The 20,810-nt window shown below is 36.7% G+C and overlaps 1 protein-coding gene across 35 annotated transcripts in view, besides 1 other annotated feature; it reads right to left on the minus strand.

Annotated features, from left to right (window-relative positions):
• ENAH (ENAH actin regulator) overlaps window positions 1–20,810 on the minus strand; it is a 167,050-nt gene that overhangs the window by 47,112 nt on the left and 99,128 nt on the right. For 17 of the 35 annotated variants that reach the window (XM_047424939.1, XM_017001749.2, XM_011544229.3 and 14 more), the window contains one exon: window positions 1,567–1,623. The exons of the other annotated variants lie outside the window; for them this stretch is intronic. In XM_047424939.1, coding sequence (XP_047280895.1) covers window positions 1,567–1,623 — 57 coding nt within the window. The remainder of the gene's footprint in view (window positions 1–1,566; window positions 1,624–20,810) is intronic. 35 annotated transcript variants of the gene reach the window in all.
• Window positions 15,053–15,552: an enhancer, noted in NCBI's record as "H3K4me1 hESC enhancer chr1:225736695-225737194 (GRCh37/hg19 assembly coordinates)". NCBI's record gives its function as "activates a minimal SCP1, AML or CMV promoter by ChIP-STARR-seq in naive H9 embryonic stem cells {active_cell/tissue: H9 hESC(naive)}" and the evidence as "EXISTENCE:reporter gene assay evidence [ECO:0000049][PMID:30033119]".

The raw sequence follows: 20,810 nt of genomic DNA on the forward strand, positions 1-20,810 counted from the left end.
GCACACAGTTAAATTAAAGGTAATAATGGGGGGAAATCTACTTTTTAACACATTATTTTACAACTTTAAAGATTCACCTTCACTTAGGTCAAATCAATATTTTCTCTGCAATTGGGTAAAGTATCCATTATTCTGCGTATGGACCTCAACATATTAAATAGAAAGGCATACAACATTGGATGGGTTTTCAAAATGAGCTAAAGAGAGTCCTAATAACACAAATATCAATAATCACTCATGACTAGTTCAAAAGATAGCCCGGAAAAACCCCCAGGAGGAGGCAGAAAAATGAGGAGAAAAAGTTACTGATTACACACTTAATCTGCAGTGTTTCATTGTGGGATCTGGGAGGGAGAGGAGGGATTTATGAACAGCCACACAATAGGCTCACTGCTGTAACTGTGTCCTCTGGAACAATCCTAAAATATAACTTTAAGTGACTAACAAATACATTAGCCTTTTCTTTTCTTTCCTTTTTTCTTTTTTTTATTTTAAAGAAATTTGCAACACGTACTTCTTTGCCTAAACCAGAAAGTACATACATTTTAAAATAATTCTCTTCATAGGTAAAAAAAAACAGTATCATTAGTATTGAGGAGTCACATTAAAAATTCTGAGTCACATAAAGTACATACACAGAGCTGAACACTTTATGTAAAATTGGAGCAATACTGTATATCATTTAATAACTTTATCTCTCTCATAAAATAATCTGGCTAGCAAGGTACACATGAATCAAAAAGGCATATATGAGGTTTCTTTTCAAAGCTCAAGTAATTAAAAGTAACTCTTTGGAACTTGGGTTTTTAAAACAAAGTTTCAGAAACAAATGGAAATAAAAAGAATTTAGACAAGGATATGTATCTATCTGTGTTTATAGATAGATACGTATCCTTAGATATATATCTTATTCTCTCTAATTTGGGGTGGCTAAGTGACATACCTGGTTTGTCCATGCAAACAATACATATATGTGCACACATGTGTATATGAGAGTGAGAGTGAAAGAAAACACTCAATAAGCCTAAATTCACTCTTAAGTCACAGATTTCTAACCTACTGAATAAAGGAGGCTGTCAATCAGAAATCAACCTATTAAAGCAAGTAATAGCTTACATCTGCCTCACAACATGCACACCTAAAATTAATTCAAGTTAAGCAAAAGTTTCCTTTGCACAAGGCACATTTACGTTCCTCAAATCATATTAAGATGGACATAAATTTTTTCCTTAAATTCTAAATCAAAAATTTGCTCCCAAACAAAATAATTAAAAACAAAAAAGTACAAACAAACAAAAACCCCTCTCATTTGTGTTGGAAGAGGTGGACAAGAAGTGTTTTAAGATCCTAATTCTAACTAATTCTAATGCTCGCTAACAAGCCAACTCAAAGCTGACCAAATCACCTACATGAACCACAACAAATATCACAACATAAAAACAATAGCTTGCTATATATCCCAAATATCACAAACCAGACTATGGCCTAAGAAAACAAAAGTTATGGAAATGCGCAAGTAGCATGTACCACAGCTTGAAAAAGTAATGTAAACATAATGTTGCTTACCACAGAAAATACATCGCAAATTAGTGCTGTCCTGGGTAGCAGTAACCTTGCTCTGGGCTGCAACAGACACCTTGGTGTTAGAAGCTTCGAAGGACAACGGGGCCATCTGAAGAACTTCACATAAACTAAAAGGTGCTTTGAAATGTTCAAAATGTATTTATACATACGTCCTATCTAGATCCTCATCCTGGAAGCTCTGTAATTTAATAAAAACGCATCCTCTTTAACATAGGCTCTTAAAAAAATTTATGCAATCGTTTTTTGGTGGAAAAACCCTGTAAGCAGCCATAGATCAAATGATGCACTTATAACTTAGTTATTTCCTAAGTTATACGGTCAAAGAGTGCAACCAGCATTTTAGGGTTATATATTTTTAAAGTCAATGAAGATAAGGTAGAGGAAGCCAAGATCTGTGGCTATTAGTGTTAATTTCACAAGATCTATATTCTCATTTAGGAGAATTGAATCTGAAAAAAATTTAAGCTTGGAAGTGCTTAAGATTAACTCATTCCTACTAGTTGGAAAGAGACCAAAGCCATTATAAACGGCACACTGCAATAAAGAGTTTTATATTCACTGATACAAAATAAGAATATCTTTGGTTTGCTAAAAGTCAGCTATTCATTTTTTACCAAGCCACATGTTACTATTTTTTTTCTCAATATATATATACATACTTGACAAAATGTCTTATTAAAAATGTGTGGCCAGATCAAACAGCCATTTATTTAGGCTATTTACATTAAATTTTAGCTTAAGTGTCAATGAAGTAAATTCTCTTTAGGAGAAAAAACTCAATGAGAAGGTGATGATCTATGAAAAGGGGAAGGGTTTATATGAAATCAAAGTGACACTCAAAATTGAGATGAGACAAACAAAAGTAAATTTTTTTTTTTACTATTACTTTAGTGACATCCAAAACTTTACATCAATAATTTTCTGTAAAATCCTGAAGAAATTATTTTCAGCATGGGAAAGATTTTCTTTTTCCGTTGGTATTAACCAAGAAACAATTAGTGGTTAAAATGCACTGGGGCTTAGGAAAGCCCACATAAAGGCAAACAAGACAGTGTTTTAGATCTCCCCTAAGACTGTTATTATTTAAAACATACAACTCATGCTAACTAAAAGTTTTAGAAAAATCAGAACCAAACCAATTTATAATTAAATAACACACATCTAAAAATGGTAATGTCTTAAATAAAAGAGAATTTTTCATCATTTTTAGAAATTATTTAACATAATCCAATTGTCTTGCTTTGAAAATATTACATACACTGTATTTTTTTTGCAAACACAAAATAAGATTGATAAATGTCACCTTTGCTAAGTACTTCCAACCACCCAATCTATTAAAGTTGCATGCACAATATTTATTTACAGTAATGACATAAGATATAGAAAGACCACAGGCGTACACATAAAATGTCTACCAAGCTAATGAGATCATTCCACAGGAGATAAACAATTTAGAATATTTTCAATAATTATAAGTTTAAACTGTTTTTTTAAAAATCTGTCTTACCGACGTTTGCAAATGGCTACTTCTATAAAACCTTTATTAAAGAAACATGACTAGTCTTCAGGTTTTACCCTTCAGTTCCTTTATTCCATATTTAAAGAGAAAAAAAAACCCATAAGGACAATTTTTAAAACTTACAAGAAAAACCTGAGAAATTATCTCTTCTTTGACAGCAAAGATACTGCCACATCCCATTACCAATCATGTTGGCAAAAAGTCATCTGACAAGTGTCAGAATGCAGGTAAACCATTATTGCTGCGTAAGACAAAACATTTCCAATAAAAAATTCCCAGTCTTTCTCACAGTTTAAACTATTAACATTCTTCACTTGGTATCTTTAAGCATCTTCTTTCCACTGACTTTAATTTCATACTATCATGTAAAATATTGATCTAAATTCTGATAGGTTGCTTAAATTCTACTGCAGTTTGCATTTCCTGAAGATGCTAAATTATTCATGCCATCATATGCATAAGCCTAACAGAACTTCCTGCTTAATACTGATACCATTAACTCTTTCTTCATTCAGTCAGGGCAACAGAGCAGAATAAGGGAAAGAACACTTATTGTCCAGGTTGAGTAAATTCAGTAATACGATGTTTTCAGCATACTTTTTAACACTAGCACTGATGTTACATAAACCTTACGTTTTACCTATGAAAGGACATTTCTCTTTAAGTTAGGCCTATTGACTTTTTTTTTTTTTTCACGGCTGTCCCTTTATCGCTAATGCAGTTGTCAAACAGCCATCCTTCAGGCTTACCCCTGCCTTTAACATACTTTACCATTAGGCGTTTTGTACAAGCAGGGAAATGTAGAAACGCTGGGTAAGTTAGCAGTAGTGGAAAACGACAGGCTGTTTAGATTTGATTGGCATGACTGTATTTTATTACTGTATATAATTACTACAGTAGACTCTGCATTCATGATTTTCACAACCAGCAGTTTCTCCTATTAGCAATTAGTCCCAAGGCAATTGATAATGTGGATATGACCCATCTCAGCATTGTTTCTTACGATTAAATGAGATGTTTGCTTAAAGACTGGCTTGAATCTGATTTGCATTCTCTGGAAGGCTGGTCAGTTGACTGGGTGAGTGATCACAACATCAGCATCTAAATTAGTGGTGTTCACACTTCGGACCATCAGTAATGTCCCCAGGTATTTCTCTCATGATTGCAAAGTTCTACGCAATACATTTTTGAGACAGAATGAAAGCAAATGAGTTTACGTTTGCTCAAAGGTATCTAGAATAGAAGGGAGGCAGATACTGCAGTGGTACAGTTGCTGCATTAAAAAAAAAAGTTACCACATTGCAGGGCACTGTGCTAGGAGGCATAAGGATTACAAACAGTAAATTTTATTCAAAGCAATGCATTTTTAAAGTGGCATTTTGAAACATTTTCAAAAATATTATTTCAAATTTTGTTTTAAAATGTGATAAAAAAACTTTTCTATATCTCAGGAAATGGAGCATCGTGCATATATAGCTACACATGAAAATGTACCATCATAAACATCTTCCCCCCCGCCTTTTTTTTTTCACTCAACCTTAAGGCAAAACTGTATATATGATTGGGTTTTTTTCCCATCCTTTATTTCTTGCAATCCTCTCCCAACTTATGACCCGAATGCATTTTATTCCCTTCTAAGCCAATATGAAAATCACTTCTATCAGTTGATAACTTGCTGAAAAATTATTTGTCTGCACTGGCAATAGTCTTAATATGTTCCTCAGTCCACCATGTTTTGTAAGCCGTTTATTTTTAGTCGTGAAATGAATGGCCCTGCCTCTAGCTAAAGACACTTGAAGAGGCAACTGGAAGTTGAGGGGCCTATCATTTACCAATGCTGTCATACCCTAATGCCTCCAAAGGCAAGAGTAACCTGTGTCCTCAGGTTCATTGCTCTGCTTCCTCTTCCTGAACACAGATCAAGACTTGCCCATCAAATGCCCTCCTACCATTTGTTACTAAGGGCATTATTGAGTATATGCTCAGAGAAACCACCACATTCTGGCAGAATGCTACTTTAACACAATTAGCATCTATCAGAGTGTTGGTTGACTCTTTAATCAGAGCTCTTATCTGTTCAGTTACACAAACCAGAAATCCACTACCTTTTCTTTTACTCCTATTTAACCAATTTTCAAGTCCTGTTAATGCAACCTCCTAATTTCTCTCTCCAAACTCTCTCCATTGCTACTGTTCTTGTTCCATGATCCCTTGCTTAGTCATGTTCAGGGTGGGGCAACAAGTATCCCAGAAGCTTAACATACATCAGTTGGGGCAGGGAAAAAAATAGTAGCACTTCCATTCATTAATTTTTCTCATCCATTTTACTGTTTTTTAACGTCTTATAATGTACTCAACTTGTCAACAACAAAGTACATATATATAAATGATAAACACACATGTATGAGGGGATAAGCTCAAAAACTGAGAGACCACCAACCTAGACAATTACATTAGCATCATCTAATTAAGTTGCCCATTCCAATCGTGGTATCTGTCCCCTTCCCCACAGTAGCCAGTGATACTTTAATAATTAACCCAAATCATCGCTCTTAGTAAAAGCTCTTCAATTGCTGCCCACTGCTCTTAAGATAAATACCAAAATCCAGTGCTTGCCCCCCATGATGTGATTGCCACGTATCTCATCCAATTCCTACTCTATTGCTCTCTAGGCTCTAGGTACACCGGTCTCTCAATTTCTCAAATATGCTGTATCACCTTTCCTCTGCAGAGCCTTTCTGAAACATGCATGTGCCTTCTACTTCTAATATTATTCTCTTGCTCAACTGGCGTGCCTCTTTTTGTACCAACTAGAACTTTCTGGCAGTCAACACTCAGAGTTACTATTAGCCCTCAGAAAACTAAAATAATTAGTTCTTCTTTCACTTGGAATCTCACTTCCTACTTCAGGTTTTATTGTATATGCTTTTTTCTGATTAGCCACTTCAAGAGATTTGAAAGGAGAGAAGTATAAATATAAAATTAGATAATATCAGATTTCCTAGGAAATATGAGAAATCTGTCTAAAGACTCTCGGGAGAAAAGTTTTAGAATGATATTAAAATTAAGCAAAAAGGTTCAAACTTATATTTGGGTACAAAAGAAAGAGGGTTTGTTTTCGTTTCTTTCACTCTGGATGCGAGTGGGCAACAGAGAGAAAATAAACCTGGAATAGCCTAAAAGCTGGAAGTTTCAGGGGAAAATGATAAAGGCACCCAATTCCATAGCGTTCAAGATAAGAGGATACCTCACATCATTTTAAGGAAACACAATTTCACTCTCTTATCCACATGTAAAAAACTGAATCTCCTTTAACCAAGATAGGTGTTTTTACTCTTTATAAGTAATTTAAAAAGACTTTCAAAGACCATGTCTGTTTTCTCCCACTTTTATAGGAGAAAAAAAGAATTAAGAGAAATACAAAGGCATGAGGTTTCTGATAACTACAGTAACATACTTAGGGGTGGGGAAAAAATGAAGGCAGTGAAGATAGGGCAATTCTGGGCAAGAAAACTGAGCCTGGACCAAGAGAATAAACCTCAGACATTTCCACAATTTGGTCAAGAATTCATCCCTGTTTACATTCAATCTGGCATTGAAAATGCTACACAGTTCTCCTTTACATAATTTACCAAGTTTTAAAACGTTTATTTAAAAAAAAAAAAAAAACTAAAGAATCTGAGGAAGGCTTCTTGCTTTGATTTTAATCTTTGCTTTAAAAATTCTTAAGATTTAGCCATTACTTTTCACTATACACCACACTCACACAATTAAAATAAGAGCCAGTAACTAAAACTAAGAAAGCATGCCTAGATACATAAATACATGTTTTTTAACTAAGATTTGCTTTTCAAAATGCCATGCATGATAAATGCTACAAGATGTATGAGCCCTGAAAACAGTACACTAATTGAAAGCCAGTCACAAAAAAAACCCCACATATTTTATGATTCCATTTATATAAAACGTCAAGAACTGGCAAATCTTCAGTGATAGAAATTATGTTAGTAGTTGCCAGATGCTGGGAGGTATGGAGGAATTGGGGTAAAGGGACAATGACTTAAGGGTAGAGGGTTTCTTTCTGGTGTGGTTAAAAATGTTCTAAAATTGGCCGGGCACGGTGGCTCATGCCTGTAATCCCAGCACTTTGGGAGGCCAAGGCGTGCGGATCACGTGGTCAGGAGATCAAGACCATCCTGGCTAACACGGTGAAACTCCGTCTCTACTAAAAATACAAAAAATTAGCCAGGCGTTGGTGGCATGTGCCTGTAATCCCAGCTACTCAGGAGGCTGAGGCAGGAGAATTGCTTGAACCCGGGAGGCGGAGGTTGCAGTGAGCCAAGATCGCGCCACTGTACTCCAGCCCGGGCGACAGAGTGAGACTCAGTCTCAAAAACAAAAAAAAAACCCAAAATGTTCTAAAATTGTGGCAAAGGTTGCACAACCCTGTGAATATACTAAAACCACTGAATTGTACCCTTTAAATGGGTAAACCGTATGGTATGTGAAGTAAAGCTCGATAAAGCTGTTACGGAAAATAACAAGTGCCATGCTGTGCATCTGTTCTTCATCTCACAATTGTTTATAACACAAAGTTTAAAAATATCCCAATGCCTACTGCTTTTTCCATTTTGAAAAGTATTAGAGGTGATTGGTGGAATTTTCGGTATTTTTATTTTCTTCTTCATGCTTCCTATACTGCTTAAATTTTTATAAATAGCACACGACTTTATCATCAGAAGAACTTATTCTCACTTGAAAAACAAAATGCTGTGGAAATTACAGTTCTGTTAACAAGAGTGGTTCTAGATGGACAGAGCTCTAACTGGCTCTAGTTTGTTTTTTGTTTTGTTTTGAGGCAGGGTCTTACTTTGATTGCCCAGACTGAAGTGCAATGGTGAGTTCCAGTGAAGTGGAACCTCAAACTCCCAGGCTCAAGTGACCCTCCCACCTCAGTCTCTTGAGTATCTGGGACTACAGGTGCATACCACCACAACCAGCTAACTTTTTAATTTTTTGGAAGAGACAAGGCCTCACTATGTTGCCCAAGCTGGTCTTAAAATCTTGACCTCAAGTGATCCTTTCACCTTGGCCTCCTGAACTGCTGGGATTACAGGCATGAGCCACTGCGCCTAGCCTAGCTCTAGTTTCTAACAAGAGAACTGGACATAAAGAATGAAGTGACTCTATGAATAACGCCAACATGACCCCAAATGTTTGGAAAGACTGCAAAGCCAGGACCTGAATACCCTTTTCCAAACACCAGAGCTGGTTGAGAGAAGGCATACAGTGGCTGTTCTGCCATCACACTACTTTCCAGGAGGAATCAAACCCAAAGGCATTTTTTAGGTCATGACTCTCTCAGTACATATCCATTCAGGATGGTTCATCAAAAACCAGGACTGTCCTAGTTAAACAAAGACAGCTGTCTCCCTTTTCCATGGGAATCCTATTGCCCTTGCCTTCTCTATCTCTCTGCGTGACAATTCCTGGTATTTCAAGAAGCTGCTTACCAAGAAGCAACCTCTATCTAAAACAACACAAGACAGCTAATATTTAAATGACAAAATTGTCCACATTTACTTTTTGAAATTCAAAAATATGTAAAATTCTATTAAAATAGTTTGGTTGAATACATAAAAATTAAATAAACTGGGTTTGTCTCACATGGGATTTACTAAATAGAATTAAAGATGGCCAGGAGCAGTGGCTCATGCCTGTAATCCCAACACTTTGGGAGACTGAGGCAGGACATTGAGGCCAGGAGTTCAAGAGCAGCCTGAGCAATGTAGTAGCAAGGCCTCATCTCTACAAAAAAATTAAAAATGAGCTGGGTGTGGTGGCATGCACCTGTAGTCCCAGCTACTCAGGAGGCTGAGGCAGGAGGATCCTTTGAGTGCAGGAATTCGAGGTTACAGTGAGTTATGATCGCACCACTGCACTCCAGATTGGGCAACAGAGCAAGACTCTCTCTTAAAAAAAAAAAAAAAAGTTCTGTACTTTATTCTAAGATTGATAGGAAGCCATTGCAGGGTTATTGCTGCATACTACAATAGTTATGCAAAAACCCACTCTACCATCTTCCTAGCAATATAAGGCTAATTCCATTAGTTATCTGCAGAAGAGACTGGAGACACATTTCCTAGGCACCCATATCATTCATCCAGTCTTCAAAGTGGGACTGATTTCAAGGCTTGAGGAAAACTTTAAATCAATGGGAAACCAGTGAGTATTTCTGAATAGGAAAAGGAATTCTCTTTGTTACAATATTACCACAGCAAAGAGCAGGATAATATTTGCAAAATAAACTCCTTCATAAAAAATGTATTTCTTCCTACATGAATGACAATGTAATAGCCAAATACTCTTGAAATTTTCCAGAACACAGAAGTCATTTGTTTTCTCATGTGAATCATTTCAGAAATTACAAAAGCTCACATAAATAGCAGGTCTACCTTGTAAGAATTATTTTTGGTACCTTTACATGAGTAGCATTCTATATTTGTTTCCTAACTACCATTCTGCACCATTCATGTTACTTACACTGCCTTGTGGATATTTTTGACCATGACTTATACTATCTACACAATTAACAGCCTCCTTAAGACCAAAAATTTTGAATTATTTGTTTCTCTCATCTCATGTAACATAGTACCTTAACAGGAATACAAATAATTCCAGTTAACTACAGCATTTCTTCTCTTAGATTAGAACAGCATCTACCCCTTAGGAATTTTTTATGTATTAATGAAATAATGTCACAATATTTTTCATATATGAAATACCAACTAACTTCAAAGATACTGCTATTCAACACCATCTTCAAAAGACTCCTTAGAATTTTTCTACCTTACCTAGATTATGAAAACAGGAATGCCCAATGTTAACTCAGAGGCAATGCCCCAAAATATGCACATGGGCGACCTGACAGGGCACCATCACGCTTCCAAATGCACGAAAGCACAGCCGAGATTAAGCTGTAAAAATCGTGGAACAGGTTTGGCTGCTGCTGTGTGTTGTGAATGGTCTCATCAGAGTGGAAGTGGTTCCTGCAATTCATCTCTTATCATCAGTGGAAAACAAGACAGACTATTAAAGCCTCTCTTTATTCTTGTTTTAAGAGGAAAATGTTCCACACAGAGGTATCACAATTTTTGACTATTTAACATCCAGCAAAATGCTTCTTCAATTTATGAGCAATAAAGGATAAAAATTCATGAATAAAGATAAAGTAATTACATGCAAATTACTATCCTCATGTAAGAAAGCATGCAAATAATCACAGATGACATCCTCAGGTCATTGTAGCACCACTGAATAAAGATCAAGCCTATTGTAAAATAAGCCTGGAAGAACTGAAGTCACTAGCTGGACATGCATCAGACAATAGATTATAAGGTGCCTAACTGCCAGAGAAACAAGGAAGTAGAGAAAAGGGAATGAAAGGCAGACAGAATATAGTGTCTGTATGACAACAAACTCCAGGCTAAAATAACTTGCTATGAGACATGAAACCCATATTTATCACAAAAATAGTATCTGCCTCTTTTTAGCCATTTAATCATTCCCACCTTGGGGCAGGACAAGATGTCTTAAGTCCCACAACGTAAGACTAAAAGCTGCGCTCATGAAAAATGAGGCTTCATAAGCTAAAGCAGCTTTCCCAGACAGTTAGTGAACAAGAACTTAAAAGTCATAGAAGTTAATATATTAAAATGTATTTATTGTAATTTAGTATGAACAATTTATAAATCCACATATATGAATATGTAATTCAGATATAATTATGAAAAAATCACAAAAAAAATCACAAAAAGAAAAATCACAAATGTACTGACTGAGACAGAGCTAGAAACAGCTAGTAACAACAGTTACTGCTATTAAATAGATGGTGGTTACAAAGCTAATTGCTGGGCAATTTTTATATATTAAGCATCAAAAAGGCCATCAGACCTACATTTTCCCTTTCATTGACAGATGATAACAGCAATTAGGAATAATTTTTGCCACTTCTGTGACTTGCAAAGTCCCACTTCTGGCCAGCCCTCCATAATGTCCTCATGGGGGAGGAGAGAAGATGAAATACAGAAAGGAAAAAGACAGGAAGAAAGAGTTCTCTGTTACAGGCAAAGCTAGGCATGTCCATCTACATTGAAGAGACAGAAAATATGGAATAATCAAGCCCATCTGACACACGGCCTTTAAGATTTTTTTGCTTTGCTAGGCTGTTTGGAAAAGATAAAAAGACTATAGAAATCCCATTCTTAGTGAACAGCTGTCCCTCCTAAGTTATGGCAGTAGTTTTCAAAGATCTTGTTCCTAGGATCCACTTATATTCCTAACAATTATTAAAGACCCTAAAGAGCTTTTGCTTATGTGGGTTACATCTATCATTATTTACTGTACTAAATAACTAAATTACATGTTTTAACTTTTAGGAATTCACTTTTAAAACAACTAAAAAGCAGTTATATTTAAAATAACATTTTAATGAAAAATAACTATTTCTCAGAACAAAAATATTAAGTGATTAGAATGCCATGGTTTTACAAATCTCTTTAGCATTTAACACTAAATATTAAATAATAATCCAGACAGCTAGATTATTTCAATTGCTTTTGTATTCAGTGTGCTGTGGCATGCTGTTCTGGCTGAAGTATAATGAAGAAGATCCTTGAAACGGTCCAGAAGGGGACCCTCAAGAGTTGCCATGGACCACACTTTTTGAATCCCTGAGTTAGAGGTTTAAATTCAAGATTCCCAATTTTACACCTGATTTAGCCCAAAGGAAAATTAAAACATGGAGAACCAGCAAGTACATAGTAATTTAGGCCTTATTAGCTCTAATGATTAGGACATCTGTAAACTTTTTTTTTTTTTTTTTTTTTTTTTTTAAAGACACAGGGCCTCACTGTAGCCCAGGCTGGAGTGGTGCAGTGGCGTGATCATAGCTCACTGTAAACTCAAACTCCCAGGCTCAAGTGATCCTCCTGCCTCAGCCTCCCAAGAAGCTAGGGCTATAGATGTACGCCATCATGCCCACCTAATTTTTAATATATGTATTTTTAAAGACAGGCTCTCACTATGTTGCCCAGGCTGGTCTGAAACTCCTGACCTCAAGAGATCTTCCCAAAGCACTGAGATTACAGGCCTGAGCCAGCATGCCTGGCCCTAATGAGAATCAGCCTGGCCTGAGGTCTGTAAACTTTAAGAGGATAAGCTACTATCAAATATTCACTCAAATTTTCTTTTTAGTGACTATGAATTATTAGATATAATTTCAAGCATTAATCAACACAAATATTAGAAGATAAAGCTATAGTCATTTTCTGGTCCCAATTCCAACCCAGAACTTTGAGGTTGTTCCTGTGTGTAAATGGGGGATCACAAAACAGAAGCATAAAGAGAGGGAGAGGGCAAGGGAAGAGAACAGAAGAGAAGCATCCTTCCAAGAGAGTCTGGCCCTAACACATCCATGGTAGGTAAAGAATACCTAAATACAGTCCTTGGGAGAACTGATATTAGTTACTCAAACAATTTTCCTTAGAGCTTAACTGTCTCACAGCCCTGGTTGAGAAAGGCTAAGGAAGCGGCTGAAAATTGAGGCTTTGAGGTATAACAGGTAGGCCACAGGATCTGGAGGCCTAATTCAGTAGCTCCCAACCTTTTCAACAGCTAGAAACCCTTTTATACTGTAATTAACCCCCTTGAACTCAATATTTAGAGTCAATCTGCCCAAAGAAACTGTATTTATCATTAATCTTAAGAAATTAATGAAGTTTCTTTTGCCACATTGTGAACTATTTAAAGCCAGAATTGTGTCTACGTACCTTTCTTTCTAAAACCTGGACTGAGGCTCACAGTGAAACTCAAACTGATGCTGAATTACATTTTCATTTTTACCTGTTTCTCCCAAAGTACTGATTTTCTTCATACAGTAGAAATAATTTTAGGTGTCACACACATTATATTCAAACATATATGATACTTTCCCGGAGACATCTATTATTTGTTGTTGTTGTTGTTTTTGTTTTGTTTTTTTTTTTGAGACGGAGTCTCACTCTGTCGCCCAGGCTGGAGTGCAGTGGTGCAATCTCGGCTCATTGCAACCTCCGCCTCCTGGATTCAAGTGATTCTCCTGCCTCAGCCTCTTGAGTAGCTGGGATTACAGGTGCGCACCACCATGCCCAGCTTATTTTCGTATTTTTAGTAGAGATGGGGTTTCACCATGTTGGTCAGGCTGGTCTCGAACTCCTGACCTCGTGATCCACCCACCTCAGCCTCCCAAAGTGCTGGGATTACAGATGTTAGCCACTGCACCCGGCCAAGACCTCTATTATTAACATATGAGAATAGGTAGCCAGAATTCTTTCTTAATGAAAAAGTTACCTAAGTGAAGTACAATCAGAACCACATTGGTTTCCTGTTTAAATTCACCTCATTCTACCACTGTTTGAATTTTCTTCTCTATTTCTGCCTCCACTCAGGAACTGAATGCTTGACTTACAGCCTCCAGTAGCTCCCTTTTCAAACCACAGCTAGCTTTCTGGAGTACAGCTTTACTCACATTATCACTCTTGCTTGAAAACTTACACTGAATCTCTATCACCCAAAGGTCTCAAACGCCCTTCTTGATCACCTACCTTTCTGAATTTATTCCCACCAGGCCAAACAATTCCCTGCTCTACAAACACAGCTCATTCTTCCCACTTTTTGTACAGGTATGCTATTCCTCAGGCCTGATATGTCTTTCCCCCTCATCTTCCCATGCCTACAGTATGTCCAACTTTCAAAATCCAGACCTGAAAGTCAGCTTGTCACTAATATGTTCCCGGCTGCTCCAGTGAGAAGGCGGCTCGTCCCCTTCACACACCCAATACAGTATGTTATCTGTCCTCAGACAGGGTTTCTCTTGTGTGTTATGGTTGTGCCTTACCTCCCCTGTAAGAGGAGAAAGAAGATCTGTGAGGACAAGACTTGTGTCTAATTTGCGCTGGCATACAGATGCACTCAAATGATGGATGAATTAATTTGTCTATAGAAAAAAAGAAAACACCCAAAAGATATGTCTTTACCGGGCAGTTAAGACAAAGCAGATGTTGGAGAAAATTTGAAAGCCTACTTTTTTTTTTTCCTCTAAGTTAATCCATATAGAATTTTCATTTTCTTTTTTTTTTTTGGACATTAGCATTCAAAATAACATTTTCTAGTTTAATACTATGCCTTTGCCTTGTTTAATTCCCATGATATCCTGACATAAATATTCTCATGACTCACATTTTATAAATTAGGAAATAGCTTTAGAGAAAGCACCAGAGGGAGAGACAGAACTAGAGTCTTTTGACTCTAAACTCAAGTTCTTTCTACTAAATCACAATAAAGACCTTAACAGTTTACTTAAAAACACAAAACTAAAAGTAAATTCAAATTTTTGCTTTCCTAATTTCTCACTCTAAACTGACTTCCCTCAAAGGCGTTTTTAAAAATGCTTTGAAGATCTTGAACTGAAGGCCAGACAAACGCAGTAAAAATAAATGGCCTGAAGGCTCGAAAACCCAATCCCCTTTGTGCCTCCCTTTCTAGGTATGGACAGCCTGGGGAAATCCCAGCTCTCCATGTCAACCTTTCTAATTGGAAATTGGGAGTGACAACAGACATATTAACCTCACATTACTGTGATTCACAAAAGGGAGGACTGTGAGAGGTAAGTATGAGAAGAAAGTAGAGCAGGCAGACCTACGAAAAGACTGTCCCCACCTACCCAATCCCCAAACCTGTTACTCACTTAATACTTAGTGAACAGATTTTTTTTTTTTTTTTTTGAGGCAGAGTTTTTACTCTTGTCACCCAGGCTGGAGTGCAGTGGCACGATCTCAGCTCACTGCAACCTCCGCCTCCCGGGTTCAAGCAATTCTCCTGCATCGGCCTCCCGAGTAATTGGGACTACAGGTGCCCGCCACCACGCCCAGCTAATTTTTGCGTTTTTAGTAGAGATGAGGTTTCACCATATCAGCCAGGCTGGTCTCGAACTCCTGGTCTCAAGTGATGCACCCGCCTCGGCCTCCCTAAGTGCTGGGATTACAGGTGTATGCCACCGCACCTGGCCAAACAGATAGGTTTTATAGGGTTCAAAATGTTAATTCTCCAATAAGATTAGTTGTTTCGGAAAGCTAAACTAAAAAACTTTGTCCAGGGTTATCTTTGGGATTCTTTTCAGGTCCAAATTTTTAAGATTTCATGAAAGCATTAATAAAGAACCGCAAATGGAGTATATCCAGAACCAAATGTGTTATCTGCAGCACAGTATTTCCTCTTCCATCCTCTTTCACTCTGTCTCTGGTTAACAGGACCATCTTTACCGGGGGCCCAAACTGACACACCTGGTCATCATTTTAAAACACTGTTCTCTCCTTCCCGGCCTGCCCATTACATCTTACTGACAAAGAGAAAAGAGGTTGAGTTCTAAGACCTCGGTACAAAAGCCACTAATGCCACTGTCTAGCTGTGGGTCCTCGCATCACTACAGTAGTGACCTTCTGTAAGTGCCAATCTCATTTCTAAAACAAGGATAATACCACCAACCTTGTAGGGTTGTTATAAAGATGATTGGTTATGTATACGCCAGATTAAGACCAAGCACACAGAAGGTGACCAATAAATAGATCATTATTCCTGCCTCAGAATGGCTTTAATTTCTATGTGAGGACAAAGGTAGAAAGCTAGAACACTGCCGTGGCAGGTATAGCCAGCACTAAATGAAAGCTGGTCACCTCCTCTTCATTCTGCTCCTCTCCTCTCTCTACTTTGTCAGTTCAGGCCTCATCTTTCTCACCGGTATTATTACAACAGTGTCCTGAATTGATCTTCATGCTTGTAAACTTGCATGCTCACCACACTTGTCCTAAAGCACAAACTTGATCATATCAATCCTTTATTTAGCATCCTTCAATGACTCTTCACCACCTCCATGATAACATGCACACTCGTCAGCACTAGGCCCTTCCCAACCTTATCTCTTGGGATGCCCTGCTCCTGACCCCCACCACATAAATTCTCATGTCCAAGCCACATCATGGCATATTTGTTATTTCCCAATTGCTCCATGCTCTCATGCTTCCAAACCTATCTAGAATGTTCTATCACTGATGAGCCCTCCCCATTCTTCAAACATAGCTGAAACATCACCTTCTCTTCAAAGCTTTCCCTGACCCTAGAATTTTCTTTGGTATTCCGAAGGCCTTTCTTCACACTACATTCGCAAGCTGTATCCTAATTTTGCTGGCCTTGTTTCTGGCAGCTGTAGCCCGACTGTGACATCAGGCAAGGGACAGGCTTTATTTATCATTTTTGTATTATTCCCAGTGCCTAACACAGTTTATAAAAAATACGCTTTACTGAAAATATTTTTGTGATATAAGCTTAATATTGTTTGCATTAATATCAACAATCTGGAAGACTAAAAAACAAAACTGTCACTATAAAGTATTTCTAGAAACTACTGAGATTTTTTTAATCCTATTAATTCCAAACATAAAGAGATTTTTAAATGCTGTGATAAAACTCATACAAATGTACATACTGGAAGGTATGTCAGGCCAAATTATCATTAAAAAATGAAATCTCAATATTATAAAACCTCTAGAAAATTTCAACCATAAGGAAGGTATGACTTTTGACCATGTTCTCATGTTCAATAGATTAAAAAATAAAACCCAGCAAAAGTAGTCTTTTAGATAATGGTAAAATACTTATTTTGGGGTGTTCTTTTTGAAAAGGCATGCTTCATCTTGGCTGAGAACAAAAGCAGTGGGATAATCTTACTGGTTATGCATATAATTTTCTTTTTTTTGGATTTAAAAATTATTTCCTATTTTCAAATGATTTAAACCTTTTAAGAAAATAAAAGTTGGGCAAATTTGCCTCCACCAATTATCACAAAAATTAACTTTGTAGTTTATATAATCCATAACTATTACCTATAAAAATCTATAAATGTACTGGATAAATAATAGAGAAATCAAAAATATCACTTTAGGTAATACACCCATTTAAAATTGAATCCATTTCCATGGAGAAAGGAAAAAATACACTGTAGCATTTGGTATAAAAGGAAGAGCACTAATTCAGCTCTTTTTCAAAAATGTTAGAACATGTGATTTGTGTTTTTTTAACTTCCAAATATAACTCACTGTATTTAGCACCTTCTGTACTTTCCAGTATATTAGATAATTGCATACCAAGTTAAAAACAAAATAAAGGAAAACATTTCTGCCACCCACCATTTTCATTAAAAAAAGGAAATATCACACAAACACACAGAGCACCTTGTAAAGGTTGGTATGACTAGCCCCCCAGAAAGCTGTTTTTTATAAATTTAAAAAATTTGAGGACGTAGGGGACACGGAAGAAGAGGAAAGGAAAATTATGTGATTATTGGTTTTAGCACAAAACGTGAGCTAGTAATTTTCAAATTCAGTTCTAGAGAACCATGGAGGCATCTCAGTGGTTGCGGATCCGGAACCCTATATCAATCAGAGAAGCTCCATATTTTCTGTCCATTTATACACTGAACTACCAAAGATCTCATTTGCACAAAAATGTCCATAACTTTTTAAAGTCTGAAAATCACTGAGAAGGATTAGCCGATGACAACAGTGGATAATATTGATATTAGCACCTAATAAATAAAAATACAAACAGAAATGTTTAATATGGAAAAATGTTTTAACAAGTGGTAAAACATTAAGAAACAGGCAAGACTAATATTTGTAGTTGCTTTATCAATAAGTTTGTTCTGCTTCTCATCAGTTTTATCAGGCTACAGTTTGTAAAGGGAAGGGAGATGTAAGTTAAGCTTTTTCAACTTGGTTTTGGAAGAAAGACAGTAGATGATTTCAGCAGCCAATTGGCTGTGAATCCAAAGCAAAGATTTTTGGCAGGGTATGATCAAACTGAGAGGTGACATTATTGGGTATGTTTGTTTAGATAAAGGGGAGGTGGCCCATATAATGTTGGGGTAGGGTACATACCTTTTCTACACTGGAGAATCTGCGTAAGAAATTATATCTATTCCCAAGAACACTCCTGATTCTTTTTTTTTTTTTTTTTTTTGAGACAGAGTCTTGCTCAGTCGCCCAGGCTGGAGAGCAGTGGCACGATCTCAGCTCACTGCAAGCTCCGCCTCCCGGGTTCACACCATTCTCCTGCCTCAGCCTCCCGAGTAGCTGGGACTACAGGCGCCCGCCACCACGCCCGGCTAATTTTTTTGTATTTTTTAGTAGAGACAGGGTTTCACCATGTTAGCCAGGATGGTCTCAATCTCCTGACCTCGTGATCCACCCGCCTCAGCCTCCCAAAGTGCTGGGATTACAGGCGTGAGCCACCGTGCCCGGCCCTGATTCTTAACATCTTACTCTCTCCCATGCTTCTACTTCCACACTAATTAAGGCCATCAAAAATAAGAAATAGTATTTAACTACAGTAATTTATGAAAACAGTCATTTTCTAAGTAAATCAGACTATTTAGAACTTAGCCATTCTATATGGTTTTTTTTCCATGATGAAAAACTACAGAACTAAAAGCTTCCTTGCCAGTGACTGATCCACAATACCAGGAGGCAGCTGTGATGGACTCATTTCTTCCACCATTATCTCTCTTTCCTCAGCCCCTAGTATGAGTGGTTGAGATTGTGACTGAGAATAAAGTATCAAAATCATCTAACAAGAAGCCTTTTTCCCACACTAAAATGCTTGTGTAGCTTGTAAAATGATGGCCGATTTTCCTATTTGCCAAACTTTCTATAATGTGGAACATTGTTTCTTAATGCTTATTACCTTACAATAGAGAATGTAATTGAGTCTCTCCACATTAAGATTCATTAATTTGAAAAGATCAAGATTTAAAAAAAGGCTGTGCACGGTGGCTCATGCCTGTAATCCCAGCACTTTGGGAGGCCGAGGTGGGCAGATCACTTGAGGTCAGAAGTTTGAGACCAGCCTGGCCAATATGGTGAAACGCCATCTCTATTAAAAATACAAAAATTAGCTGGGTGTGGTGGTGAGCACCGGTAATCCCAGCTACCTGGGAGGCTAAGGAGGGAGAATCACTCGAACCCGGGAGGCAGAGGTTGCAGTGAGCCAAGATCGCGTCACTGCACTCCAGCCTGGGCAACAGAGCTAGGCTCCGTCTCAAAAAATAAATAAATAAATTTGCATTTTGAAATCAAACCATATGACTACTCATTGAGAGAAACAATCCTTTCCATTTGGCTAAAAACTAAAAATCAAAAGTCAATGACAAGAGGAATAATAAAATTTTAACTACTTTTAAAAAAGGAACATTTAGTTTCCAATATAAGTTCCTAATATCAGTAACATTTAGTTTCTAATATCAACGGATACACTTTTGAAAGTTTAGAAATAAAAATAATGCTAGTTTGTTCTAAAACACGGGATAGTCAAATGTCTACTCTCCAAACTTTGGTACCTTAATTATTTATCACATAACTGACCTATCCAACAAGATATTAAGAAAAAAAAAAAAAGAATCACAATTCTAGCTTCTTCCCTATGGTAAAACTACAGTAAATGAAAAGCAATTCTATACCTATGATAGCATGCCAATAAAATACTGACACCTAGGAGAGAAGTACAGAGACTTAGAGAAATGACCTACATACAAGACTATACAGACTTTCCTATGCTATTTTCTGGACTTAGAGACACACCAGGCCAAGTTCTAGTGGTTTATTTTCTCAAACTAGACAAAATATGCAACCTATGTATAAGTTATGTATTGATATTAATTTCCTCAAAAGAAGATCTGATACAAAACATCTAAAGGCATAACAACTTTAAGTTTCTGCAAGATCCCAAAATGTCTTCTTGCTCTGAAATTAGTATTTGACAGACTAACACACCAGCTAGATGCTTCAACCCTTTTTAGTATAAGGCAACATATACATTGTTTAATGTATTTATAACAGATTTTGAACAGATTTTGATATTCTACACTTTCAACAAAGTATCAAATTTTCATCTGACTGCAACTCTTTCCTCTTAAAATATATATTGTTTACAGTACATTTATATCATTAAAATCATTACTAAATATACAATATAGGCAAGAGTAATCATATTTGTGTTTTCATGTATAACAATTATTTCCTGATTATAAAATCTCTCTCTTCAAAGAAATAACCACACACTGGTACATTTTTCTATTTTTTAAACCAAGACAAAACTGAGCTTATCCTTGACATATGTACAGTTTTTAAAAATTGAGATTTTTTTAAAAAGTGATTTCTATATATATTTCTAACCAATATGCACTATCAGAGGAGATGCAATTCATGACTGATACCACCTGAGGGCACTCCTAAAATCTTTAAAAAAACCGAGAATCACATTTTTACCTACTGGGAAGGAGACCCAGTCCTACTTCAAGTCCATGCTTTGAAAAATGTCTTTCAGAAAACATGTGTTTCTTTACACAAAGATGATAAATAAGCATAATTCCTATCCACTGCATATTCTCTGGGCTTCATGTACTTGCAACGGAAGTGTTTCTAAAGCAGGATGAAACCCATCTAAATACTTCAAATAAAAGGGTTACAGAATTAAAAAGAACTAAACTCACAGGATTATCTTTCTAGATTATACATTTATCATCAATAAAAAGTTCACATTTCTATAGAAAATAAAAATT

Source organism: Homo sapiens, chromosome 1, assembly GCF_000001405.40.
Source record: "Homo sapiens chromosome 1, GRCh38.p14 Primary Assembly".
NCBI classification, from domain to species: Eukaryota; Metazoa; Chordata; class Mammalia; order Primates; family Hominidae; genus Homo; species Homo sapiens.